At 51.5% G+C, this 27,128-nt stretch overlaps 1 protein-coding gene across 11 annotated transcripts in view, besides 2 other annotated features; it reads left to right on the top strand.

Moving 5' to 3' along the window:
* COL23A1 (collagen type XXIII alpha 1 chain) overlaps positions 1–27,128 on the top strand; it is a 352,776-nt gene that overhangs the window by 268,468 nt on the left and 57,180 nt on the right. For all 11 annotated transcript variants that reach the window (XM_011534691.3, XM_011534690.3, XM_011534688.3 and 8 more), the window contains exon 3: positions 15,007–15,051. In XM_011534691.3, coding sequence (XP_011532993.1) covers positions 15,007–15,051 — 45 coding nt within the window. The remainder of the gene's footprint in view (positions 1–15,006; positions 15,052–27,128) is intronic.
* Positions 8,815–9,317: an enhancer, noted in NCBI's record as "H3K4me1 hESC enhancer chr5:177739610-177740112 (GRCh37/hg19 assembly coordinates)". NCBI's record gives its function as "activates a minimal SCP1, AML or CMV promoter by ChIP-STARR-seq in naive and primed H9 embryonic stem cells {active_cell/tissue: H9 hESC(naive and primed)}" and the evidence as "EXISTENCE:reporter gene assay evidence [ECO:0000049][PMID:30033119]".
* Positions 14,976–15,487: an enhancer, noted in NCBI's record as "H3K4me1 hESC enhancer chr5:177733440-177733951 (GRCh37/hg19 assembly coordinates)". NCBI's record gives its function as "activates a minimal SCP1, AML or CMV promoter by ChIP-STARR-seq in naive H9 embryonic stem cells {active_cell/tissue: H9 hESC(naive)}" and the evidence as "EXISTENCE:reporter gene assay evidence [ECO:0000049][PMID:30033119]".

The following is a 27,128-nucleotide window of genomic DNA, read 5'->3' as shown; positions in this document are numbered from 1 at the left end:
GAAGAATCACTTGAACCTAAGAGGTAGAGGCTGCAGTGAGCCAAGATCGTGCCACTGTACTCCGGCCTGGGTGACAGAGTAAACGTAGTCTATCCATGCAACAGAGTATGATTCAGCCTTAAAAAGGAAGGCTACGGGGCCGGGCGCGGTGGCTCACGCCTGTAATCCCAGCACTTTGGGAGGCTGAGGCGGGTGGATCACAAGGTCGGGAGATAGAGACCATCCTGGCTAACACAGTGAAACCCCATCTCTACTAAAAATACAAAAAATTAGCCAGGCATGGTGGCAGGTGCCTGTAGTCCCAGCTACTCGGGAGGCTGAGGCAGGAGAATGGCGTGAACCTGGGAGGCGGAGCTTGCAGTGAGCCGAGATCGTGCCACTGCACTCCAGCCTGGGCAACAGAGCGAGACTGCATCTCCAAAAAAAAAAAAAAAAAAAAAAAAAAGGGAAGGTGACCTCGTCATCACAGGTTATAACATGGATGGACCTTGAGGACACCATGCTCAGGGAAACAAGACAGTCACAGGACAAATGCTGCTGAGCTCCGCTTGTATGAGATACCCAGAGTCATCAGATTCAGAGGCAGAAAATAGGATGTGGTTGCTAGTAGCCATGGGGAGAGAGGATAAGGAGGTAGTGTTTAATGGGCAGAGAATTTCAGTTTTGCAAGATGAGGAAAGCTTTGGAGAGGGATGGTGCTGGTGGCCGCACAACAGCGTGACTGTGCTTGATGCCGCTCAACCGTCCACTCAAGAATGGTTAAGATGGGACCTTTCATGCTATGTATTCTACCACAGTTTTTACAGAATAGTTTAGAAATTTACAAATACAGTGTAATCTTCCAAAAACCACTGGATGAACTGTATGGTATGTGAATCATATCTTAATAAAGCTGTTTTTAAAATCCTGCTGCCCAAAACACAGCTGGACACACTGTGGCTGCCCTCTCAGGGCAAGGACAAAGAACCACCTATGGCTGAGCGCACAGCCTGCCCACACCCCACCTCTGGAGTGCGCAGGAGGCAGGATCCAGCTCTGGGCCCATGCGACCTCCAGGCCCACAGAAGGCCCCCACAGCGGAGAGCTGTGGCTTTAGAGGGAAAGGAGGGTGTGAGACACCGGGAGGCACCTTCTGCTGACAAGGGCCAGGCACATCAGACCCGGCCCAACAGCTGAAACTCTTTGGCGGAAGCCGGGCCTCAGCCCTGGCCCTGGGGGTCAAAAAGAAGTCATGAATCACCCCAAGTCCCCTGGGGTGCGAGGCAAGGATGCGTGGGAACTGGGCGGGCCTTGTAGCCTCATAGGCCAGGATTTGGGAGCAGCTCCTCAAGCCCCCCAATCTTTCACCCTCGGGCTCCTCCAAAGCTGTGGTCTGCAAACTGCACAGCTGGCGCGGCTTCCTCAGACCTCAGCATCCTGCAGAGCTGGGCAGCTGAGGGGCCAGGCGTGGGGGCCGCGTGGGACCTGCTCTGAGAATGAGGTGAGGGGACGCAGGGCTGTGTCTACCTGTGCACAACCTGGCTACACACTGCCTGGGGTCATAAGGGCCTCATCAGTGCCCACTTCTTCCCGATTCAGGTGGCTCTGTGCCAGCGAGGCCAACCATTGTTCCGGCCTGGGGACCCAACACCTTGGGGTCCCCACTAATGGCCCCACTCAGGGGCTGCAGCCACGAGCCAGCGTACAGGAGCCCTGCCCTCAGGGAGCTGATGTTCCAGCAAGAAGAGAGAAACCATAAACTCTGAAAAGCACATAGAATAAGCTAGGCAATTTTCATAGAAATAAGTGTCTGGAAGAAGATAAAAGAGGAAAATGTGACAACAAATGCATGAGGCAGGCACTTGAAAATTGAGGCTGGTGGTCAGGGAAGGCATCCCGAGGAGGCGGCAAGCATTCAGCCATGCAGGAATGGGCAGAGGAGAGCCCTGGACAGAGGGAAGCTGGTGCAGAGGCCCCAAGGCAGGGCAAGCCTGGCAGGCCTGAGGAGTGACGGAGGGGCATGCGGCCGGGTGCAGGGAAGCAGTGGGCAGATAGGGCGGGGGAGGCCTCCCTTCTTACAGATGCCCTCGGAGTGACCCGCAGTTCCAGTTTGCCTAAGACTGACCTGATTTCAGCACTGAGAGCCCAGGGAAACCCCTCAGTCCCCAGCAAACCGTGACAGTCGGTCAACCCAGTGCCCACTCAAGCTCCAGGAGACGTGGAAGTTAAAACTGGGCCATGCCGGGCTGCTGCACTCTTCCCTCAGGAGGGCGCTGGTCCACGGTTCCGAGGAACCCCGAGAGTTCCCTGTCCAAGGCCTGCAAGGGTCAGCTCGGCTGGGAGCGGACGGCGCATGTTGCATGCCCAGCTTCTCCTGGCAAGTGCCTGCCAAAGGCCTTGCCCACGCCCACCGGCCATGCCCCAGGCCTCACCTGCCCACCTAGAACCTCTGAGTAGGATAGGGTGGGGCTTTTAGCAGGCAGGTTACAAGGAATTCTCATGAAAATCAAAGCTCACACGAATGACCTTTTAAGTTTAAAAAAAAAAATAGAGCTTTTCATTCTCTGAAAGCAATAAATCCTGGCCTTCGTTAAGTTCAGAGGAGTACATGTGTCAGTGATTAAGACTCGGGGTGAATGGAGAGTTGAGGAATTTGTGATCTTTGGGGTGTGCTGGTTTACATGCGCCTCTCTGGAGCCTGTTTTCCAACAGGAAACAAGATCCCAGGAGATGACAGGCTCTGGGGCAAAGCTTACTTGCGCTAGCACAGATCTGGGTCTGACCAAGCCCAAAGCCACAGGCCACCAGCCCATGTAGCAAGAGCCATATCCCCAGCCCCCCACCCACCGCTGGCCACCCAGCACCGACACAGCCTGCACCATGGCTGTACCTGCCGCCTGTGAGGGTACCAGCAGTCCTGCTGCCAGCGTTGGCAACATGCTTCTTTGTAGCCAGCACCTGCCTTCACCTGGCTACAGGCTCTTTAAGTATTCAGGTTCACCTGACCTCCACCCTTGAGAGCCCCTTTCCTTTTTTTTTTTTTTGGAGATGAAGTCTTGCTGTATCGCCCAGGCTAGAGTGCAGTGGCACAATCTCGGCTCGCTGCAACCTCTGCCTCCCAGATTCAGGCAATTCTCCTGCCTCAGCCTCCCGAGTAGCTGAAGTTACAGGCGCCCGCCACCACACCCGGCTAATTTTTTGTATTTTCATTAGACATGGGGTTTCGCCATTTGGGCAGGCTGGTCTCGAACTCCTGACCTCAGGTGATCCACCCACCTCGGCCTCCCAAAGTGCTGGAATTATAGGTGTGAGCCACCGCGCCCGGCCGAAAGCCCCTTTCTGGAGTCGCCCCACCCCTCCCCTTCCTGTCCAGGTCTGCTGGCTAGTCCGGCCCCTTCGGCCCTTCAGAGATGTTCTCATGGCTCTGAGCCCCTGTGGGCAGGAAGGGTCGTAGTCTCAGGCACGCTGAGGGGCTTTCCCCTCTTCCCATCGGTTTTGCTCAGTCCTCCCTTCAGCTGCCTGGGCCGAAGGGTCTGGGGAGGGGCTCTGCCAGGCCTGAGAAATGGCCTGTGGCTTAGCTCCCCATCGTGGCACCCACGTGCCTTACATCTGCCAATCAAAAGGAGTCCCAGTCAGTACCTCTCCCTTTAAGTCTCTGCTGGAAGGCACCGAAGGCTGGGGGCTTTCAAAAGGCAGTGCTTCTGACCCCACAAATGTGTGAGAAAACCCAGCACAGGTGCCTAGCCTATTCCTGCGGATTCTGGAAACATGAACAAGAGGGCCTTTTTTGGTAGATCACTGAAGATTTGTGGTTATTCATGACATAGCATAATTGTGGCAACAGTTGAATGATCTACCTGTGGCTCTCTTTGTCCCTCCCTGATACGGTGTGGCTGTGTCCCCACCCAAATCTCATCTTGAACTGTAGCTCCCATAACTCCCACGTATTGTGGGAGGGACTCATTGGGAGATAATTGAATCACGGGGGTGGTTTTCCCCATACTGTCCTTGTGGTAGTCATCGAGATCTCGTGGTTTTATATAAGGGGTTTCCCCTTTTGCTTGGCTCACATTCTGTCTTGCCTGCCACCATGTAAGATGTGCCTTTCACCTTCTGCCATGATTATGAGGCCTCCTCAGCCACATGAGTCCATTAACCCTCTCTTTCTTTATAAATTGCCCATTCTCAGGTATGTTTTTATTAGCAGCATGAGAACTGGCTAATACGCTCCCCAACCCATTGGCAAGGCATAACCTGGGCGCCACTCTCAGAGATCTTACAATGAAACATGAAAGAGGAGTGTTATTCAGTAGTGGCCATGTTTACATAAGAAAAACAAAGCATGGTCTGTGTCTTCAAGATGTTCATGATTGTGTTGATAAAGAAAATCTGCATACCTCCAACAAAAGGTAATTTTGATCAGTGTATCTTGACTAGTGGCGTATATTGGTGTTGCTGAAGAACCTTTTCAAAATGTGCATGTTTTGGTGCCAGGCAGGACTCACTGAATCTAACAATTCTAGGGGTTTGGCCTAGGGATATACATTTTAGAAAAGCAACTCAGGGAATTCTAATGCCCTTGCCTGGTTAACAACCAACAGTAAAGGCTAAATAAAGCAAACAGGATATTTGTGCATAAGTGCAAATGAGTGAAGGAGAAACATGAGGTTAGTAGAGTCCAGAGTTGTCTGTCCTGAAGGGCTTAGAAAGGTGGGATCTGCACAGTCCTTGAAGAATAATAGGATTTAAATAAATAGAAAGACAGGTGGGGAAGCAGGCAGAGAGAATATCACAAACTCTAGCATGTGGATTGTAATTAATATGGCATGACTAGAACAGAGACTGACTTATTTATGAATGTATTTATTTATTCTGTAAGCATGTCTTTAGCATTTACTGTGTCAAACATTAGTCTGAGTTTTTTAATAAATATTAACTATCATAACAAAACTATGAGATAAGCAGTAGTATCAGTCTCACTCCATAGAATAAGCCGACCAGAGTGGAAGACTCGTATACTCTCTAGTGATGTAACTCACTCAGAATTTTGTATTTGATAGAAAAACTGTTAATGCCAAGCAACGTTTTTTTTTTTTGCAAAGAAGTCCACAGACTTCAATGTTGCAGTCCACTACCTTGAAACTAGATCTTACTGTTATTATTAGTTTGTTTGAGCGTATGTGGCTTACAAAAAGAGATGGATAAAAGCTAAGAAAGAGAATAAAACCATTTTAAATATCACTGTGGTTGGAATTTTTCCTTACTATAATTCTAGTTAAAATAGTTTGATTCCAATAAACAAGATCCCTCTTCCTAGAAAATGTATTCATGCTTTACTCCATTTATAAAGGCATGAAGGCACAGACTTCTCTTAGTAAGTGAAAAAAATCGGGAATTCTGTCTGGATAGGAGCACTTCTAAGCAAGGTAATTATCTAAGGAAAGAACTGTTCAATGAGTCTCCAAAGCTCCACACTGAATTTGATGAAATCCAGCCAAGGCTTAATTTTAATCGTTCAAATTTCGTTAAAACTCTGTATATCATAAATATTTTATAGGATACATATTTTCTTATTAAACTAATAAGAGTCATTCCAACCTTACGTTTTTCATTCTGGAAATCTCTAGACAGGTTACATTATATTAAGAAGGTAACAAACCCAGACGTATTTCATATATGTTTCTTTGTTTTTCAGAATACTTTCTAACTTCTTTAGGTCTATCTAATTGATTCCTATCTAGAAGTAAATATCTAAGAATCATCGAATTACGAACGTGTATTAGTGGATATAACATAAGTTTATAGTGCTGGAATGACCATCCGTGAAGACCAGTTGGATTCTAAGTAGAATTATATTTAAACTGCTTAAACAAATACCTCTCTAACTTTTCTTCACACAGCTTCAGAAGAAAAAAAATTTAACACAGTTTCCGCAGTAATACATTCTCTGGGTTTTATGTTCAGCTAAGATATGCTGTATTAAAAAGTAGGTGAATAAAACCTATTGTTTACCTCGTAATAATTTGAGACTACAAGATTGTTGTAATCTAATCAAAGGAATCAAGCTAATCAAGGAATACAGTGCTTGTTTTTTTATTAGCAATTATCAGTTTATTTTCTCTGGAGGATACCATGACTATGAATAAAAGATTATTTGTCTTGAAAAAAAAAAAAAAAAAAAAAAGTCAGTGCTTCTACTAGAAAACGTTGATGCTTTTCCTCCCTGGGCAACCTCAGCCCCTTGACTGGAGGCACTGACAAGAGCTCTGACAGTCTGATCCGGAGACCGTGACCAGCCCTTGTCCCCTTCCCGTGCCCTGCCCCTTCCCGTCCTTCTTGTTGCACCCTCTGGGTGGGACATTCCATGTTTAGCTCTGGTGCCAAAACCACAGTCATTTCCCTGAAAAGGAAGAACTTAGGAGGGCATCACTGGTGCAGGCAAACGCCCTGGCCTGACCAGCTCTGAGCCTTGGATGGTCCTTTTGCCTGTGGGCCTCAGGGTTTTTATCTGTAAATGGGGCCAATCTTGTACATCTCAGAATTACTCGAGAGGATTGAGGAGATGGTAAAAGCCCCCAGCACGTGGCCTGCTGGGCTCAGCCCGTCAGCAGGTCCTACCATCCCCAGCCCACCGGGCACCCCCTTGCCTGAGCCCTCCAACCGGAGCCCTTGGGGAGATGCTCTTGGAGCTCCAGAGAACACGGTGTGTTGGGGCTGCAGCACGGCTGGTATGTCACCAGGATGCGTCATGGGTCCGGACTCCTTAATCCCATTGGAAAAGCTTAACTAAATCCGCTCCTAACTCAGGGAGAGGAACCAGCCCAGAAACTGCAGGCATTTTGGATGGCACAAGGAGGGCATGCTATGCATAAAGGGGGCTGGAGTCGTCTCGGGTCTCCAGGGCTGCCGATCACACTGGCCTTGTAATTAGACATTTAATTCACAGACCTCTGAGAGACATCCTGGGCAGCTTAACAAATGCCAAGAAGAGGTTATGAAAACCGTGGACTATTTAACCTCTCTCCTTTAATAAGTATCTTCTTCAATGAGAGAGAGCCAGGCAGTGTTTAAGGACATGACTCTCAATCAGAACTGCGTGACTCTACCGGCTACCAGCGTACGGCCTCAGAAAGCCCATTAACCTCCCTGTGCCTCAGTTTCTTCATCTATAAAATGGAGATAACAGTAACAGCCTTCCTCATGGGTTTGAGGTCAGGAATATGTGAGTTAATACCGTAGACTCGAGATTGGGGCCAAGTGTAAAGTTGACACTCGATAAATGGTGCCGGCGGCTCTTGCTTTTATTAAACACTGTTGCAGGCCGCTGTGGTTGTCTGGTATCTGGTGCTGTCAGCTCCTTTGTAGAGCACATGAATGTCCACATTTGAGGCCCTCTGTGAATGTGACACTGGGGACACCTACCACCCCAGCCCCTCCTAACAGGGCCCTATTCATTCATCCACCGAATGGCACCGTGTCCAAGCCACCTTAACCAGCTCTGGTCACTGGGGTGGTCGGGGTCTGTCACCAGCCTGGACAGTAACCGTTGTTCCAAACAAACATGACGAAGACGAAGACTATGGCGGTGCCTTAAAACCCTGGCAGCCTGTGGTGTTGGCTTTCCAGATGGCTTCAGGACTTTCCCACAAGCAGCAGGACCCAGCGCTGTTCGGCTCCCGGTTCAGCATGATGGATGGTGGAAGATGACTCTGGGGGGGACGTAAGCAGCTTCGGAATGAACTGTATTTGTTGAGCAAGAGGCTGTGATTTTAATTCCTGGAGGACCACAGTGCCCGCAGCACTGGCTGAACCAGAGCAAGCTGGCCAGCCTCTCCGGGTCTCAGTGTCCCCTCCAGGAGCAGTAGGGTCCCCAGGCCCACCTTAGAGACACCCACCGGGACACACCTACTCCTTCACTCCTCCAAGGGACAGAGGGCTTTGTGAGGCCAAGCTGGGAATGTGCAGAGAGAATGCTCCCTTGTTGGGCAGTTTTCAGCTCTGAGGTTGGTCTGAGACTTGTAAAACAAATGAAATGGTCTGGGGAGATGTTTTAATGATCTGGTCTCGGAAGCTCTTTTCCAGGGACCTCGCTTGCCTTCTCTGCTCAAGGTGCACCCCCTGATGGCCCTGAAGCCCCAGCAATCTCATAGAGCTCCAGACTGAAGGTCTGGGAGGATTCAGGCCATCTCACCCCACTTCCTCCCAAAGTTCTGGGAAGAGGGTCATATAAAGGGGCTTCCAGTGGTGTTGAGAAGGACCAGGTCTGAAGGGACACTCGACACGTGGTGGGATGAGAAAATCTTGGCCATGGTCACACTGGAAATCACACACAGATGTTCAGGGGACAGACTCCGAAGTCACACAGACCCGGGTTCCAGTTCCAGTTCCGCCATTTCTCCACTGTGTGACCTTGGGGATGCCATCCTCTGTGACTCCACAGTGCCGGGCTCCTCACACGGGACACTGCTGTGGCTGCCAGCAGCATCCCCACAGTCTCCATCAGGACGGCCCGGCTCACAGCCTCGCTCAGGGGTAGCTGAGACCCCTGGGGTGTTTGTTTTGTTTTCTTTAATTGTGATAAAATACACATACCATAACATTTCCCGTCTTAACCATCCTTAAGTGTACACTTGAGTGGCATTCAGTATGTTCACATTGTCACGCACCCGTCACCACCACCATCCCTCTCCAGAACTCTTCATGTTGCAAAACGGAGTCTCTGGGCCCACCGACTTCCCAGTCTCGCCTCCCCTAGCCCAGCCCACCGATGGCACCCCCTATTCCACCTTCTGCCCCTGTGAATCTGGCGACTGCAGGAGCCTCCAGAAGTGGAATCCTTCCGTATTTGTCTTTCTGTGTCTGGCTTACTTCCCATCGCGTGACGTCCTCCAGGCCCATCATGCTGCAGCGTGCGCAGGAACTCCTTCCTCTCCAGGGCTGACTCACGTCCCGCTGTATCAGTGCACGTTCTGTTTGCTCATTCTTCTGTCCGTGGACGTTTGGGTTGCTTCCACCTTTTGGCTGTTGCGCCTGGTAGTAATTCTTGACTTCTGTGGGGCTCAGTTCCCCTGATCTATAGGAAGAAAAGAGTAGAGAGAAATGAAAGCACTTCACAGACTGTTGTGTGGATTCCATGAACCCCCTGTCCTCAGGGGCTGGCTGAAGGGAGGATCAGGGTTGGGCTGAGGGCGGAGCAACCAGTCAGGAGCCCACAGGAAGCAGCCAGGCCAGTAGGGTGAGAGGGAGAGGCCTGGGCAGGCTGTCCCCAGTGCGGCTGAGGTGGGGTGGCTGCAGGTTTGTGAAGGGACCTTGATAAGACGGGCATTGCTAGAGGGGACGTCCTTGGGGAGGGAGGTGCCGGGAGGGCTGGGCGGGGGGAGCCACTTAGAGAGCCAAATCCTTGCAGCTCAGGCCTCAGAGGAAGCCTGTTGGGGTTCGAGGCCCCCCTTTGGAGTTGATCAGCGGCGTGAGTTCTCCACCCCAACCAGAGATGAGATTTTTATGAGTTAGAAATGGTTTCCTTTTGTCTGGCCTCCAACAGTGCTGAGAAAGCCGTAGGCCTCCCTGGAGTTGTTTACTGTGCTGATGCTGCTCTCAGACGTCCAGAGTCATTGGGCAACGAGCTGGAGCCCTGGCTGGCCTGTGCTAGACCTGGCACCCTGAAATTTCATTGAGAAACCTCATTCCCAAAGAGCTCAGCCTCTGCATTCTCATCCAGAGGTTCACAGACAGGCAGTGATTAGGGACACGGGAAAGCTCCCGGCTTCCCACGGGGCTGCCCTTGCACTTTGCTCAAAGTGCAGTCAAGGGCTCCGTCGGCGTCTCAGCACCTCGAACCTGCCTGCAGTGTTGCTGAGGTGCAGTCACTGTGTCTCCAGCTTCACCCACCTGGGGACTCATAAGAACCAGTTACGCAGGCCGGGCGCGGTAGCCCACACCTGTAATCCCAGCACTTTGGGAGGCCGAGGCAGGTGGATCACCTGAGGTCAGGAGTTCGAGACCAGCCTGGCCAACATGGTGAAACTCGGTCTCTACTAAAAATACAAAAATTAGCCAGGCATGGTGGCGCGTGCCTGTGGTCCCAGCAGCTCGGGAGGCTGAGGCAGAGGAGTCGCTTGAACCTGGGAGGCGGAGGTTGCGGTGAGCCGAGATCACGCCACTGCACTCCAGCCTGGGCAACAGAGTGAGACTCCGTCTCAAAAAAAAAACAAAACAAAACAAAACAAAAAACAGTTACACAGTGGCTCAGGCCTATAATCCCAACGCTTTGGGAGGCCATGGTGGGATGATCACTTGAGCCCAGACGTGTGAAGCTGCAGTGAACTGTGATCACGCCACTCCAGCCTGGGTGACAGAGTGAGACCCTGACACACACACACACACGAAAGAACCCACTTACATTAAAGCCCCGCATTACACACACACACACACACACACGCGCACACACACACACACACACACAGAGGAAAGAACCCACTTACATTAAAGCCCCGCATTGTGATGGCCCAGAGGCCCCTGCAGCCAGTTATTTCTTGGGGTCCCAAAGAAGCACCCCTTTTGTACCCCAGGCTGGTGTGTCTGCTGCCAGCTCATCTGGTTCATGATTCCGCAAGGCAAGTCTAGTTGCCACCACTCCCAAACCTCTATCCTCCCGAGTTGGAAACTCTAAGGTTCAATGAGGTTGAGTAAGTTGCTCAGAAGACACAGCTTCCCCACCAGTCAGGTTCTTCCCCTCCTGCTCTGGCATACCCCTCGCCCCAGCCTCTGAAAAGAAGTTTTGCAGATGCCACTGTGGTGGCACCCACGGTGAAATACTGTCGTTCCCCAGCAGCCAGCCCCTAGCTCAGAGCCGTGTGGGTCCCATGCAGAGTGGGGGACAGTGGCCTTCTCCCAGCCCAAGGTGGTCTTCAGCGCTAGACCCTCTAGCTGGGACAAGTTTTCCAGCAGCATCCGTGGGCAAGACCTGTCCTATCCCTTGCAGCCTCAGTTTCCCCTTCTCCACATGAGCAGATCAATCAAGACAGACTCCCAGTGCCTTCCTGAGTGTCTGAGTCTCAGGCAGCAGCAGGAAAGGTTCTTCTGCTTGTAGAAAGAAGAAAAACAAGAAACAAGCAAAAACTCTGAGGCCAACCACCTGGCCAAAGGCCTGGTTTTGCTTGTTGGAGCCAGGTCTTAGCTGCAGCCAAGCTGGCCCTGCTCTCCCAGGGGCCGGGGCAACCTGCTCCACACCAGGCCCAGATGCCCTGGGGCACAGCCAGCCCCAGCAAAGGGACCACATCCCCAGAGGAACAGCCTCCCTGGTCGCCAAGGCCGCCTGCCCGGTAGCTCAGCATATGGGACACAACTGTCCTTGCACTTGGGAGCCACAGACTATGAAGGGCTCCAGGAGGCTCTAGCAACACAGCCTTAGGTGGGCCCCTTCACCTGGCTTAGCCCCAGAGTTCTCATCTGTGCAGGGAACACTAGCACCTTCTTCAGAGGACTGGCGAGGCAGAAGGTGAGCCTGCGGGGCGGGCACAGGGAGTCCTGGAGGAAAAGGGTCCCAAGTTCATGCTCACTGGGTGAGCAGCCGGCTTGGCACCCAGTAGATGTTGAACCCAGGTCACTGCCCATGGTGGGCTCTCGGCACCTGATAGTCCAGAGACTCAGGAGAGGCCGTCCGTCCTGCCCCCACTCCTGCGGCTCCTGCAATCCAGTCTCCAAGCCCGCCTGGCCTCTCTGTTGGTGGAAGCAGTGGAGTGGGAGCCCACAGTCAGCAGGGAGTGCAGCTCCGGCACACTCGCCCTCTCCCAGGGCCTCACCGCCTGTCTTCTCGCAGTCCGGGAAAGGAAGGGTGGAAGGCACTCCCTATCTCACTGGCACGTCACATCAGACCAGGTGGCCCTGTGTCTCTCCTAAGCCCTGGAGCTTGCTGGACTTGCAGTCTTTTCAGGAGAATCCCAGAAGCAGTGAGGAGACCTGAGGCCTCCCTGCCTGTCCCCTTCTCCCTCCCTCCCTCTCCCCCCCGCCCTTCCTCCCCTGAACACACATCACTTGGTCGTGTCCTGCAGTGGGAGTTGGGGACACAGAGCTGCCTGAGATGCAGAGTACATACTGCAGGAGGTCCTTTGTGCCAGGAGGGAGAATCGAGCACAGCAGAGCGAGTGGCAGAGTGGGGGACTGAGTGCAGGGGCAGCGTTCGCCTGATGCTGAGAAGGAAGGGGTCCAGGTTGGGGGCTGGGGCAGGATGATGCCCGGGGGGGGGTCTCTGGCTTGACTGCTTGGGTGCTGCTGGGACCTGCAGGTAAGTAACAAGGGAGGCAGGGGGCGCGTGGGAAGTCGGGAGGTGAGCTTGAGTTTGGAAGTGGTGCCTCCCAGTGGAGTTGGACATTTAGGTACAGAGCTCAGAATAAAGGGTAGACCGCTTGTCCATCTGCAAGTCGGTCACATGGCGCCCCCAGCACCGTGCCTGGTTAGGATCAGCCCTCAGGAGTGTGCATGACCAGCTTCATTCTCTCCCTCCACGAGGGCCCTATTCAGTCGGGGTCACATCCAGCCTGCCTGGCCTGCGGCTCACAGGCCCTGTATGCTCAGCAACACCCCAGTCCTGCCCAGCTCCAGGCCTGCAGGGGGCATCGCCCAGTGACCCTGGGAGGCAGGCACCCTACCCTGCCTGGGCAGCTGCCCACCCTGCCAGCATCCCTCCCCATCAGCCTCTGCCTAACCATGCCACCCAGGAGAGCCACCAGACAAATCCGTTAGTTCAGCTGCCCCAACACAGGCAGATGTCTTCATCTGGCTTCAGTTACCCAGACGGAGAACTTCCTAGTCGTACCCAGTGATTCCCATCAGGAAAGCACAGTGCTGCATTGCTTCGGATCTAGCAGAGTCTGGCTACTTCCCCCATTCCTGGCCCCTTTCCTGCCATGCCCCCTCACTCTGCCTGGGGCCCGGGGCCTACTGCTTCGCTGGGCCGAGCACAACCTGAGGCCTGGCAAGAGCCCCGAAGCTTTGTGGGTGGCCACTGGGCCTTCTTCCTCCTACAGCCCGAGGAACATGGTGCTGCGTGTGCCGGGGGGCTCCCGTTCCCGTACCTCGCTCTCATTGAAAACAGGCCCAGAGAGGAGGAAAGCCCCCCCCGAGAGTGCTGACCTGCCCCCCAAACCTGGGGCTTAGTTAATAACCAGGGCCAGTCATCCGGTGTGACTGGCTCTGGAGGTTCCCAGGCACCATCAGCCCCGCACAGGGCACTGGGGAGGAGACCAAGGCAGGTGTTTGGGCCACAACTGGTCTGAGATGCTGGTGGGACAAGCACGTGGAGATAGGAAGGTAATTGGCCGGACAGTGTGGGTGTCGCAGGCCTCGGCCAGGAGCATGGGCCTGGAGGTGCCTCATAAGCTGTAAACCCACACAGTATGAGGAGCTGTTGTCTGTTCTGAGGGTCCCAGAGTCCTAGCCTCACCAGCTCAACACAGCCCCTGGCAATTCCAGCATAAACCCCAAATTCAGGGTCTGTGTCCAGGATGGGAGAAAACCAAGGGCTACGTCCCTGGCATGCACTTTTGCCCTTAAAACTCAGGGGAGCAAGAAGTAACATGTTTTTCATTTTTAAGTTTTGTTTAACAATCCTCACCTCAAGTCCCCTGTCCCTGAGGCTGGCAAGAAATTCATTCTCGCCTCACCCCTGGGCCTGCAAATCTTTTGACGTGTCGTGTAGCACTGAGGGCCCCTCTCCACCTGAAGGGATCTCTTCTCTCTCGCTGTTTCTCAGAGACTGGCCCTCCCTCCTCCCCTTCCCTTAACAAAAGTCGAGAAGCACCTCCCACAGGACACACAGACACAAACATACATACACAGACACACACACAGAAACACAGACACAAAAACACAGACACACACATGCACACAAACACACATACATAGAGACACACACAGACACATGCAAACAGACACACACAGACACCCACACTCATTTTTCCATCCTGCCACAGACGCGATCGGGGCCAGTCTCCTGCATCTCCTTCGTGGTTGTTCTGGAAATTCTTGACGGGGTTTGAGGTTGGCTTTTGCAGGAAAGGGCAGTGCCTTGTCATAGGGTCACAACCTGTCCCACTGTCGCCTCCAGGCCCAGCCCAGATCCTGGCATACAGTGGGTGAGCAAGACGTATCAAATGCCATTTACACATTGCAATCTTGTACCTGCACCCAACTTCACTGAAACAGGGGCGAGAAGGGGCGCCAGGAAGGATGGCAGTGAGCGCCACAGAGGTGAGGGGAGGGAGAGGGAGGCCTCAGACCTCTGCTCCCACGGCCAGAGTCAAAGCGTCTCCTTCAGCGCTGAGGTTACTCTGGTCTCAGGGTCTGATGTGGGCAGAGGGCCAGAGGCGGAGGTAGGGGGTTCTGCACCGTAAATTCAGAAGGGCTTATAGCGCGCGGATGGAGGACAGACGTGGACAGGAAGCCCAGAAGGCGGCTGAGCAGCTCCCTGGCTCTGGGGAAGGAGGAGCTGGAGGCCCCAGCGAGTGGCGGAGACTGCAGGCGGATCGTGTAGTGCCTGTCATGAGTGGATTTCGGCGCTGCGCGGCCGTGATGGCCTCTTTGTTGTGTTGGCTTTGTTGTTTTACTTTAGTGAATATGAAGCAGCGTTTGTCAGGGCTTTCCTAAGATAACCCACCCTTACTTTCCTCCTAAGTCTGAAGTTTCTCAGCTGCAAACGCATCTGCCTCAGGAGCCTCCCATGGGAATCTTTGTGATTAGGGGAGGGCTTAGGAATGACTGAGTGAGCCGATGATTGAATGACAGAATGGGTGCGTGGGGCATGAGGGATGCGGCCACCTGGGGAGGGGGGTTGGCGGAACAGGCGAGGTAGTGGCAGAAGGAAGGGGTTTCTCCCCACGCATCTCCCCCTCCACAGCCAGCAGACCCCCTCGGGCAGGCCACTCCCAGAAAGCTGTTGCGAGCGGACAGGTGGGTGGCTGGGGCATGCCCCACGCAGCCAAGTCCACTGGCTTCCCTTCTCAATGAATGCATTCTTGTTTTCCTGTCTAGGGCCCCCTGGACGGCGCGGCAAGCCTGGGAGAAGAGGCGACCCTGGTGAGTCCCAGGTTTTCTCAGCTCCTAAGCCAAGGCTTGGAAGCCACCATGGCCCCAGGCTCTGACTGCAGGGCCTGGCCACCTGCTGCCCACCCTGAGTCATGCCTTGGTCCTGGGCAGGTGCTCCTCCCCCTTCCAAGTCCAGCTGCCGTTTCCTGAGGCCGCAGCACCCAGTACTGCCTTTCCGGGGCTTCTTGGCATTCACAATTCCAGGACTGTCCCCTCTGCCCCCAGTCATCCCCCGAACCTCGTTGTTGGCCCCTAGTCCCCCACTCCAGAGCAGCCCCCTCTCTCTGAGGCAGAAGGTGATGACTCCGCCAGCCACACCCTCCCCCATGGGTCCTTCAGCACAACCGGGTTCTCCTGTGGGTTTCATCCCTCCCCAGACGTGGCCTGTCCTTCCTTGGCAGAGCCGCCAGGAGGAGACTCCCCCACCTCCCTTCCCTGCAGCCCACAGAGGCACCTGTATTCACCACCCTTCCTTCCTGCTGTCTCTGCTTCACCCAGAACTCCCCCTACCCAGTCCCCAGCAGATTGCCCCCTTCGCCCAGGGACTTCCCTAAGCCCCTCTGACATCGTCTTAGCTAAAGTCATGCTGACCTCTGATGGCCACACTGGATGCTTTGCTGTCTTTCTCTTTCTTGACCCCCACCCTTGGCCACTCCCCCATGCTGGGCAGTCCCGGCTGTCTGGGCTGCGCTTCCTCCCTGCGCTTCCTCCCTCATCTGTGACCCGGGCTCCTTTGCCATTCTCACGGGACCCACCTGCCCCGTGAATGAATCTCCCTTGGTCGTCTCCTCTCCTCTCTCCCACAGTCTCCCACTGCTGTGACACTGACCATGTCCTCTCCCTGCCTCCAGCCACATCCTCTCCTCCGGGTCCCCGAGGTTGGACGTTGCCCTGCCGAAGCCAGCATCTCCCCCAGCTTTCTTCCCTGGGCTTCCCCGTCACAGGGAGGAGGCATCTAGCCACCTGCTTCCCTGTGTAGACACCTGGCTGCATCCTCGATCCCTTCCCTGCCCACGCCAAGTCCCCATGAGCCTCCTTCTCCATGTCTCGGACCCATGTCCTCTTCTCTCTTCTCACTGCCGTGACCTCCTGCAGCTCTCATCACCCCCCACGCCATGTCCCCACCTCCAGCCTCACCATGGATGTCCAGGGCTCTCCACCTTCTGAGCCTTCACTCTTATGTCTTCCCGCACCCAGAACATCTCCTCCTCTACCTGGACTCCCACCCCAAGATCATTACCCTTTGTCCTTCAAGCCTAGCTCAAGCATCTCCTCCAAAAAAACCTCTAATGGTTTTGTCCAAGAGGTATCGCCCCACACTCAGCACGGGCAGCCCCCAGGCATGTAAATGCACAGAACAGCGAACGAATGAATGCCCAGCCCCTAAGCAACTTCACAAGGTGGCCATGGTGACGAAGCCAGGCTGGCTCACCACCAAGAGGACCCCGGGCCAACTGGGCCCAAGGGGAGGCAGTGGCACGTTTTCTCCAGGCCTCAGACTCTTCTCCCTGGAGCTGGGCGCAGGCTTTCTGCCTCCTTGTTCCACTGGTTTGCAGTGTCGAGTTCCTTACGCAGAGACCCTCCAGATACACTCCTTAGCGCTCACCGGCAAGAAGCACCCTTCATTTCTCTCTCTGCCTTGACTTCTGGAAGCTGAAGCCTGTTTTGAGTTCAATGGCTGGAGCTTCCTTTAGCCTGGCTTCTGTGTGTAATCACCCGAGACCCTGCCAAATACACACTTTATTACTCAGCTCTTATTTTCTACCCTCGTAAAGGGTTTTATTGCCTTTTATTATAAGTTCCTGACATGCTTTTTGGAAGGAGATGAGGAACACAGAGTCATTTTTTTAGGACAAAGTATGATATTATTCAGCTTACTCCAAAATCCATTTAACTTATGACTCAAGTTTAAAACAACCTCAAAGTCAAGGAAAGATAGACTCACTGGGTCCGTGGCCCCGTGCTGGGCTCTTTCAAGTCCTTTATCTCATGCGATCCTCAGACACTGCAAGATAAGAATATGTTATTATACCCACTTGCTGATGAGGAAACTGAGGCTCCAAGGGGTACAGTACCTTGCCAGAGGCCAGCTGCTGGCCAAGGGGTGGGCAGGATCCCTCCCCCTCATTGTTTTTCCAGTGTGGTGTCCCGATTGTCTGCCTATCCAAAAACAAAGTGAGCTACACAGAACAGACGTGCCTCTCTGATGGGCCTTGTCTGGGCCTTGAGTTTATTTCTAGATAGTTACACACATATGCACATCCTGGCTTTCATGCCTTCCCTTGTATAAGGAGGCCGGAGGCCTTTTTCCTGTGTCTCTTGGGAGAAAGCCTTTTTTTTTTTTTTTTTTTTTTTTTTTTGAGACAGTCGCTCTGTCACTCAGGCTGGAGTGCAGTGGCACAATCTCAGCTCACAGCAGCCTCTGCTTCCCAGATTCAAGCGATTCTCATGTCTCAGCCACCTCAGTAGCTGGATTACAGGCACGCGTCACCACGCCCAGCTAATTTTTGTATTTTTAATAGAGACGGGGGATTTCACCACGTTGGCCAGGCTGGTCTTGAACACCTGGCCTCAAGTGATCCGCCCGCCTTGGCCTCCCAAAGCTCTGGGATTGTAGGCGTGAGCCACCGCGCCCACAGAGAAAGGCTCTTTTTTGCCAGGTAGGGCAGTGCCCGGCTGGGATTCCTCCCTGAGGCCGCTGCAGGCCTGCAGATAGGGTGATCCTGCCTGCCTTCAGTGCAGTAGCCTCCCTAGTTCCCAGCAGGAGCTCCACAGTCCTGCAGTGTTTCTATGTCTCTATCTGAAATGGGATGGATTTCCCACCTTCCCCTGGCTGGCTTCTTAGCTGGAGAATCCCAGAACTGTGCCTGCACTCTGGAGTCATCTTTCTTTCTAAGGGCTTTGGAGGATCCTCTCTCCTCCCAGACCCTCTTATCCCCAAGAGTGTCCATCACTCTCCCCTTCTCTCGCAGCCCTGGACACCTCCCTCCATCTCAGCGCTTCCCACACCTGAGGTGTTGGCCTGGTCTGCAGAGTTGTCCTGCTTCTCCACCAAAGCATGGGCTCCTCAGGGCAGGTTAGGCCCCCACTCAGGAGATGGTCCATAAATGCTTATTGATGGGAAGGAGGAGAGAAGGGAGAGAGAAAGAGGCACTTGTGGGCAAATGAAGATCACAGAAGACTGCTTGGCCAGTGCCTACACAAACCTACAGAGACAAACGGAGGCACTTCCCGGGTCTCCGCAGCTGCTAGCCTTCGGGCAACAGTGTCTGTGCTAGAGTCTTTTATCTGCCCTGATCCCAAGAAACTCTTTCTAAAAATCCAGTGGAAGAAGCACTTCTGGAATGGCGGAATGAGGACTTCTAAAGATCTTCTCCATAAAGGAGCAAAAACAAGGGGGAAGATGGACCTTTTCAGAACTCTGGAAATGAACAGAAGTTTTGCCACAGCCCAAGAAATGTTTATTCAGGAAATATCTGAATTTTGCTCTTAACAAGAACAGTAAGATTTGTAGCATTTTAATTTTCTCCTCTCTCAAGCTCATGGTAGCCTTAAAAACCAGCTTTAAAAACCATGCATGGCACACACATGTAATCCCAGCACTTTGGGAGGCCGAGGCAGGTAGATTGCTTGAGGCCAGGAGTTTGAGACCAGCCTGGCCAACATGGTGAAACCCCATCTCTACTAAAAATACAAAAATTAGCCAGGCATGGTGGTGCATACCTGTAGTCCCAGCTACTCAGAGGTTGAGGCACAAGAATCGCTTGAACCCAGGAGGCAGAGGTTGCAGTGAGCTGAGACTGCACCACTGCACTCCAGCCTGGGCAACAGAGCTAGACTCTGTCAGGAAAAAACAAACAAACAAACAGCAGTGTCACAACCACAGTACTTGTTTGTGAAAACTAGCAGCCACTTGGAGGAAGCAGAACAGGTTTGAAGCTTGCAAATGCTCATCCCCAGAGAACTGTCACTATTTGACTTGTCTGGCAGCTCCATGGAAAAGCACCATACCCAAGGCTTGTCTTTAAGTGACCTATGCACAGCTTGCTTAGAACAAAGAGCCCTGTCCCCAGGATGCTTAACAAAAATAATCAGCAGCAATTGTTGAACATTGAAGCTGCTTGAGGTGATAACACCAGTGGATGACTTGAAAACTTACAATAAAAATATAGGGAATGAGATGTTCAAAGGAGCTTTGAAAAGCTCCAGCTTATTCTAGGGTATCTGGAAGGCACATCAGCTATGTACATGTCCATTAAAAACCTGTCTTGGAGCCCCAGTCTCTCACCTCTGGCTGACCTTGAGATTGTTCAAGCAGGAAATGAAGACAAAGGCAGAGTTGTAATGTGGTGGAGCATCGAAGCCGTGCTCCAGCACACACAGAGGTGCAGCATTGAAGCCGTGCTCCGGCACACACAGAGGTGGATTGAAGCCGTGCTCCGGCGCACACACAGGTGGATTGAAGCCGTGCTCCGGCGCACACACAGGTGGATTGAAGCCGTGCTCCGGCGCACACACAGGTGGATTGAAGCCGTGCTCCGGCGCACACAGAGGTGGATTGAAGCCGTGCTCCGGCGCACACAGAGGTGGATTGAAGCCGTGCTCCGGCGCACACAGAGGTGGATTGACGCTGTGCTCCGGCGCACACAGAGGTGGATTGAAGCTGTGCTCCAGCACACACAGAGGTGCAGCATTGAAGCTGTGCTCCGGCGCACACACAGGTGGATTGAAGCCGTGCTCCGGCGCACACAGAGGTGCAGCATTGAAGCCGTGCTCCGGCACACACAGAGCGGCACACACAGAGGTGCAGCATTGAAGCCGTGCTCCAGCACACACAGAGGTGGATTGAAGCTGTGCTCCGGCACACACAGAGGTGGATTGAGGCTGTGCTCCGGCGCACACAGAGGTGCAGCATTGAAGCTGTGCTTCGGCGCACACAGAGGTGAATTGAAGCTGTGCTGCGGCGCACACAGAGGTGGATTGAAGCTGTGCTGTGCGAGGTGCAGCATTGAAGCTGTGCTCCGGCGCACACACAGGTGCAGCATTGAAGCCGTGCTCCGGCGCACACAGAGGTGGATTGAAGCTGTGCTCCAGCACACACAGCCCGCCAGCACAGAGTGGGAGACGTTGGATCAAGGCATTCAAGGAAATCTCTGTCTAACCTGACCACTAAGCTAAACAAGCAGAGAAGTCAGTAGCTGCACATGACAAAAAAGACACACTTTAAAGAATTAGTCCAGGAAAGGCCCTCAACGGAGAGCAACAACAATAAACAGCAACAACAACAAATCCTGGAAAGGAGAAGAGGGATCTGATTTCCAGAGTAGCCACATTAGATTAGTTTAGATGTCCAATTTTTAGCAAAAAATTAGAAGACAGGAAAGTAGGGCAGTAAAAAAGGAAAAAGTACAGTCAATAGAAACTATCCCTGAGGAAACCCAGATGTACTTGCTAGAGATGTAGTATTGGTTATTATAAATATGTTCAAAAAACTAAAGGAAACCATGTTTGAAGAAATAAAGGAAAGCATGAGAATCATGTCCCTCTAAATGGAGAATATCAATAAACAGATCAAAAGTATTTTTTAAAGAACCAAATAAAAATTCTGGAGGTGCAAAGTACCATAACTGAAATGAAAAATTCAGTAGAGGGCTTCGACAGTAGATTTGGGCCGACAGAAGAAAGAATCAGCAAACTTGCACATAGGTCAATTGATATCATCCAGCCTAAGGAACAGAAGGAGAAAAGAATGAAGGAAAATGAACAGAGCCTCAAAGACACTATCGAGTGTCCCAACATACACATAATGGTAGTCCCAGAAGCAGAGGAGAGAAAGAAACAAAGGAATATTTGAAAAAAATGGCCAAATCTTCTCAATTTTGAAGAAAACCATTAATCTACACATCTAAGAAGCTCAACAAACTCCAAGGATGATAAACTCAAAGAGATACATACCTAAGCACATCATAGTTGCATTGCTAAAAGCAAAAAAAATGAATCTTGGCCAGGCATGGTGGCTCACGCCTGTAATCCCAGCACTTTGGGAGGCCAAGGCAGGAGGATCACATGAGGTCAGGAATTCAAGACCAGCCTGGCCAACATGGTGAAATCCCATCTCTACTAAAAAAAATAAATAAATAAATACAAAAGCTAGCCAGGCGTGCCTATAGTCCCAGCTACTCAGGAGGCTGAGGCACGAGAGTTGCTTGAATCTCTCGGACCTGGGAGGCAGAGATTACAGTGAGCCAAGATCATGCCACTGCACTCCAGCCTGGACAACACAGTGAGACTCTGTCTCAAAAAAAAAAAAGAATCTTGAAAGCATCATGAGAGAAATAGCATATCACAGAAAAGGGATGCTCAATAATATTAACAACTGGTTTCTCATCAGAAACCATGAAAGCCAAACGGCAGTAGGATGGCATATTCAATAAATGACAAAAGGAAAAAAACTATCAACAAAGAAATCTATACCTGGCAAAACTATCTTTGAAAATTGAGGCCGGGTGCAGTGGCTCATGCCTGTAATCCCAGCATTTTGGGAGGCTGAGGCGGGTGGATCACAAGGTCAGGAGTTCAAGACCAGCCCGGCCAAGATGGTCTCTACTGAAAAAAAAAAATACAAAAAATTAGCCGGGCATGGTGGCATGCACACGCCTGTAATCCCAGCTACTCCAGAGGCTGAGGCAGAGAATTGCTTAAACCTGGAGGAGCGGAGGTTGCAGTGAGCCAAGATCTCACCACTGCACTCCAGCCTGGGCAACAGAGCGAGACTCCGTCTCAAAAAAAAAAGAAAAAAATTGAAGGAGAGTAGCCAGGCACGGTGGCTTATGCCTGCAATCCCAGCACTTTGGGAGGCCAAGGCGGGCGGATCATCTGAGGTCAGGAGTTCTAGACCAACCTGGTCAACATGGTGAAACCCCCTCTCTACTAATAATACAAAAATTAGCTGGGTGTGGTGGTGGGCGCCTGTAATCCCAGCTACTCGGGAGGCTGAGGCAGGAGAATCGCTTGAACCCAGGAGGCAGAGGTTGCAGTGAGCCGAGATCGTGCCACTGCACTCCAGCCTGGGTGACAGAGCCAGTCTCAGTCTCAAATAAATAAGTAAATAAATAAATATGAAATAAAAATTAAAAAATAAAAGAAACTAGAAAAATAAGAGCAAACTTAACCCAAAGCAAGCAAAAGAAAAAAAAATCATAAAATCAGGGTAGAAAGAAATGAAATGGAAAATAGAAAAACAGTAGAGAAAATCAACAAAACCAAAAGTTGATTCTTTGAGGAGATCAACAAAACTGACAAACCTTTAACTAGACTGACCAAGAAAAACACTGGAGTCTCAAATTACCAAAATCAGGGCTGAAAGGAAGGTACATCACTAGCAACCTTAAAAAAATGAAAAGGATTAAAAGGAAACACTAGTAACAATTGTATGCCTACAAATTAGATAACATAGGTGAAATGGACACATTCCTAGAAAGACACAACTGCCAAAACTGATTCAAGAAGTCAAAAATCTGAATAGACCTGTAACAAAGAGAAAGATTCAATCAGTGATCAAAAAACTTCTTACAAAGAAAAGCCCAGAATCGGATGGCTTCACTGATGAATTCTAACAAACACTTAAAGAAGAATTAATAACAATCTTTCACAAACCCTTTAAAAAATAGAAATGGCGAGAACACTTCTCAACTCATTCTGAAGCAAGATTATCTCTGATACCAAAACTAGACAAAGACATCACAAAAAAAGAAACTATAGACCAATGTCTTTTATGAACACAGACATAAAAGTCCTCAACAATACAAGCAAAGGAATCCAGCAAAAGGATTATAAACCAAGTGGGATTTAACCCAAAAATTCAATGTTGGTTTAATATCCAAAATCAATCAATGCAGTACATCATATTATTGAATAAGAGATAAAACCACATGATCGTCTCAGTAAATGCAGATAAAGCATTTGATGAAATCCACAAGTTTTCTTTATTTTAAAAAACTGACTCAGGCTAGGCACAGTGGCTCACTTTGTAATCCCAGCACTTTGGGAGGCCAAGGCGGGCAAATCGCTTGAGGTCAGGAGTTCGAGACTAGCCTGGCCCATTCTGCTCCTTTAGGGAAAAGTCCCTGAAGGTTGTTGTCTTTATTCTGGGGATGGGTTCATGCTTCTGAGAGCTGGGAGCCAGGGTGCAGCATCTTACCTGAGCTGGCTGAATGGGAGAGGAAGAGAGGCTCAATCAGGACCAGGGAGAGCAAGTCACAGGCAGAGGGGAAGTTGGGAGTCCAGGGGCAACAGAGAGGAGCAGGTGTGGGGCTGTGAGCAGGGACAGTGACCCTGGCAGCCTCAGGCCACTGAAGCCAGCCCTCACCTCCTGGTGTGTAGGCCTGGCCCCTGCCAGGCTATGGGAAAGACTCCTCCCCATTTGCATTTCAGGAAGGCTGGACACACCCTTTGGGAAACACTGGAGACATGATTGTTCCCAGAGAGGCTAAGAGCTTAAGGTGGGCATCGGGGACTCTCAAGATCACCACGCACCTCTGCTTACCTGGTAACACAACAAGCAGCTTGCCCACCTGCTCCTAACCCCGAGGTGTGAATGGGCAAGGTTCCCAGTTTGAGGAACTCTCTTGGGCCACATCCATTCAGCCTAAGAGGCCCCAGAATCATCAAACCCTCTACTTCATCAGATGCTTTCACGTATTTCCCAGGTCATCTGGCTTTTACTGAATTGCTCCCACATTCCTGACAGCAAAGTCAGTGGAACCATCCTATGCTTGGAACACATGTTTGAAGGCCGTGCGCAGAAGGGCTGGACCTCGGGACACCACCATATGGTCACCTGGAAGCCCTGCAGCCAGCTCGCTTTCTAAGCAGGAACCCCTGGCTGGCGTGGACCAACCCCTCTGTCACATCCATCACTGTTGGATGCCCAGCTTGCTGCAGGCCGTACAGTCCATCTCCAGAGGCTGTGGCAGCCACAGCACAAACCTAGTACAAGAAGTCAAGTGCAGAGGGCTCCGAAGATGTGACGGCCTCCAGGTGCTCTTGCCCTCTTCAGCCCTCATCCATTCAGCACATGCTGACTTAAGTGCTTGTGCCTACCCAGCTCCAATCTGGGCAGCAAGGAGACAATGAACTGGGCAGATGTGGTCCCAGGGATATGGTCCCTCTTAGGGAAGTGCCTTTCCGGGGGCTGACAGAAACAGTCCCCGACCCACAAGTAAATAACCACTACCGATTGCAACAGTGCATGGAAGGAAATAACCAGGGAAAGATGATAGAAACCAATGGGGGAAGGGTGAGGAGACATCTTTGTCTTTGACATCTCTGTTTTTTGTTTGTTTTTTTGAGACGGAGTCTTACTCTGTTGCCCAGGCTGGAGTGCAGTGGCCTGATATTGGCTCACTGCAACATCTGCCTCCCAGGTTCAAGCGATTCTTCTGCCTCAGCCTCCTGAGTAGCTGGGATTACAGATGCCCACCACCACACCCAGCTAATAATTGTTTTAGTATAGATGGGTTTTTGCCATGTTGGCCAAGCTGGTCTCTAACTCCTGACCTCAGGTGATCCACCCGCCTCGGCCTCCCAAAGTGCTGGGATTACAGGCCTGAGCCACCATGCCCAGCCTTGTCTTTGACATCTTTGGATGTCACAGTCGTGGAAGGTTTGTCCAAGGCAGTGGCAGTGGAGCCATGCCATGCCGGCTGCAGGAACACAGCCAATGTGAATGTCTAAGGCTGAAGGGAGCTGGCAGCTTGGGGAACTGAGAGGGAAGGATGGAGCAGAGCACCGTGCCCAAGGGCATTGGAGACTGGCAAGGACTGGGCCATGCAGGAAGGCTGGGCCAGGAGTTGGGATTTCATTCCGTGTGCCGTGGGAAGCCCTGGAAAGGGGTTGGGCATTTTGTAAACGCCCCTCTGGCTGGTGGAGTTGGGTGCCCAGGAGGAGGAGTCGGATTAGGAGGCTGTGACGCTGGTGCTGGCATGAAGCAATGGTAGCCTGGTGACATGGTGCCAGTAGGGCCCAAGAGAAGTGGTGGGCAGTGTGTTTTAAAGTCTTGTAGATGAGCTTGAGGTGGACTGTCCCACGAGCAACGAGATCAGTCTCCGGAACGCTGCCATTCCCACTCTGCCACCCCTCTGGAGACCATGGATGGTGCCATGGGTTTAGGGTCCTACGGGACTGCCTCTGGCTGGACTACCGCCTCACCAGCCGGGTGATTCAGACACACCACACACCCTCCCGGGGACCTCTGGGGAAGCTCAGTACACATTACCGCTCTTTCTGTGGTAGGAAAAAAAAACGGCGTGGCCAAGAAAGGGGGCCTGGGTCCTCCCACGGACGAAAGTGCCTTCCCAGCAGCCCCTGCGTGGGATCCGCGGGGGTCGTGAAGTGCGTATCTCACCTCTCTCTGCCCCAGGTCAGAAGAGGACATGACCCTGGGCATGGTAGCCTTTCTGGGCCTCAGTTTCCTCATCTGTAAAATGCACCTAGTGAGGTTGCAGCAGGGGTTACATGAAATGCTCTGGGGAACGCATTCAGTGGAGCTGCCGGTGCACGAGGAGTGCTCAGTGAGGGAGCGATGTTGACTCTTACAGCCCCTCCTTCGTCTCATCTGGGCTGCACTTCACGCCAGTCCCCAGGGCTCTGCTCTCAGGACCTCAGGCTCTCAGAATAATAATCCCAGCCTGAGCTTCCCTGGAGGCAGCTTGGACATGAGTGTGAGGAAAGGCAGCAAAAGCTGGGAGGAGCAAAGACACAGAGCTTTCTCCAGCCACTGTCAAGTTCAAGTGTGTTGACGCTTTTGACTCAGTGAGCTATACACAAATATCCAATGGTGTGAAAGAGCCCAGGGTGAGAGGTCAGTCTCCCTGCTGCTCCTGCCCTCTGGCCATTTGGCCCCCCTACTCAGAAGCAACCCTGATGACCACTTCCTTGCACCCACACCTAGAGATGTCCTGTTTATACAAACAAAAGTCTACAGATCATTTTTACTACATGCCATTCTATACCCTTTTAAAATGCAGCAATACACCCTGGAGATAGTTCCATATCAGAACTTACAGAACATTACCTTTTTCATGGCTGCATAGTATTCCATCTGCAGCTGCACCATCCTCTATTTAATCAGTTCCATCTGTGCCATTTCTAATACTTTTACTATCTCAACACTTCTGTGATGAGGACTGTTTTTACACCACATCCTTTTACATATGTGTTAACATAGCTGCAGAATACATTTCTAGGAGGATAATTGCTGTGGCAATTGGCACATACATTTTAAATCTTAGTATTGCCAGATCACTCTCTAGAGAGAAGGTTCCAATTTATCCTCTCACCAGTGTGTGAGGTGACTGTCCTCATTGCCCTTCACACAGTAGGTCATGAGATTTTTTTCATTTTTTTGATCTGATATGATTGTAATTTTAACCTTCATTTCTTTTATTATGAATGAAGATTAGCACTTATAGCTACAAAAGTTAATCCTCGTTCATAATCCAGATATTTCAGGGCTATTTGTATTTTCTGTTCTGTGATCTCTTCATTCATATCTTTGGATATCTTGTTTCTACTAGGTTGCTGATGTTTTGAGAGATGTCTTGTAGGAATGTTTGTATGTCAAGATATCTAGCCTTTGTGACATGAGTTAGATAGATGTTTCGTAGGTTGGCTTTGTTTTTGAGCCAGAGTCTCACTCTGTCACCGAGGCCGGGGTGCAGTGGTGTGATCTCGGCCCACTGCAACCTCTGCCTCCCAGGTTCAAGCAATTGTCCTGCCTCAGCCTCCCAAGTAACTGGGATCACAAGCACACGCCAGCACACCCGGCTAATTGGTTTTTTAGTTTTTTGTTTTTTGTTTTGTTTTGTTTTGTTTTGTTGTATTTTTAATAAAGACAGGGTTTCACCATGTTGGCCAGGCTGATCTCAAACTCCTGACCTCAAGTGATCCGCCTGCCTCGGCCTCCCAAAGTGCTGGGATTATAGGCGTGAGCCACCGCACACGGCCTAGGTTGGCCTTTGACTTTGCTTCCGAGACTTTTTGCCTTGCAGACATTTTTTGGGTTTATG

Source organism: Homo sapiens, chromosome 5 (assembly GCF_000001405.40).
Source record: "Homo sapiens chromosome 5, GRCh38.p14 Primary Assembly".
Classification (NCBI taxonomy): Eukaryota; Metazoa; Chordata; class Mammalia; order Primates; family Hominidae; genus Homo; species Homo sapiens.
This window is presented reverse-complemented; position numbering and strand designations above follow the sequence as displayed.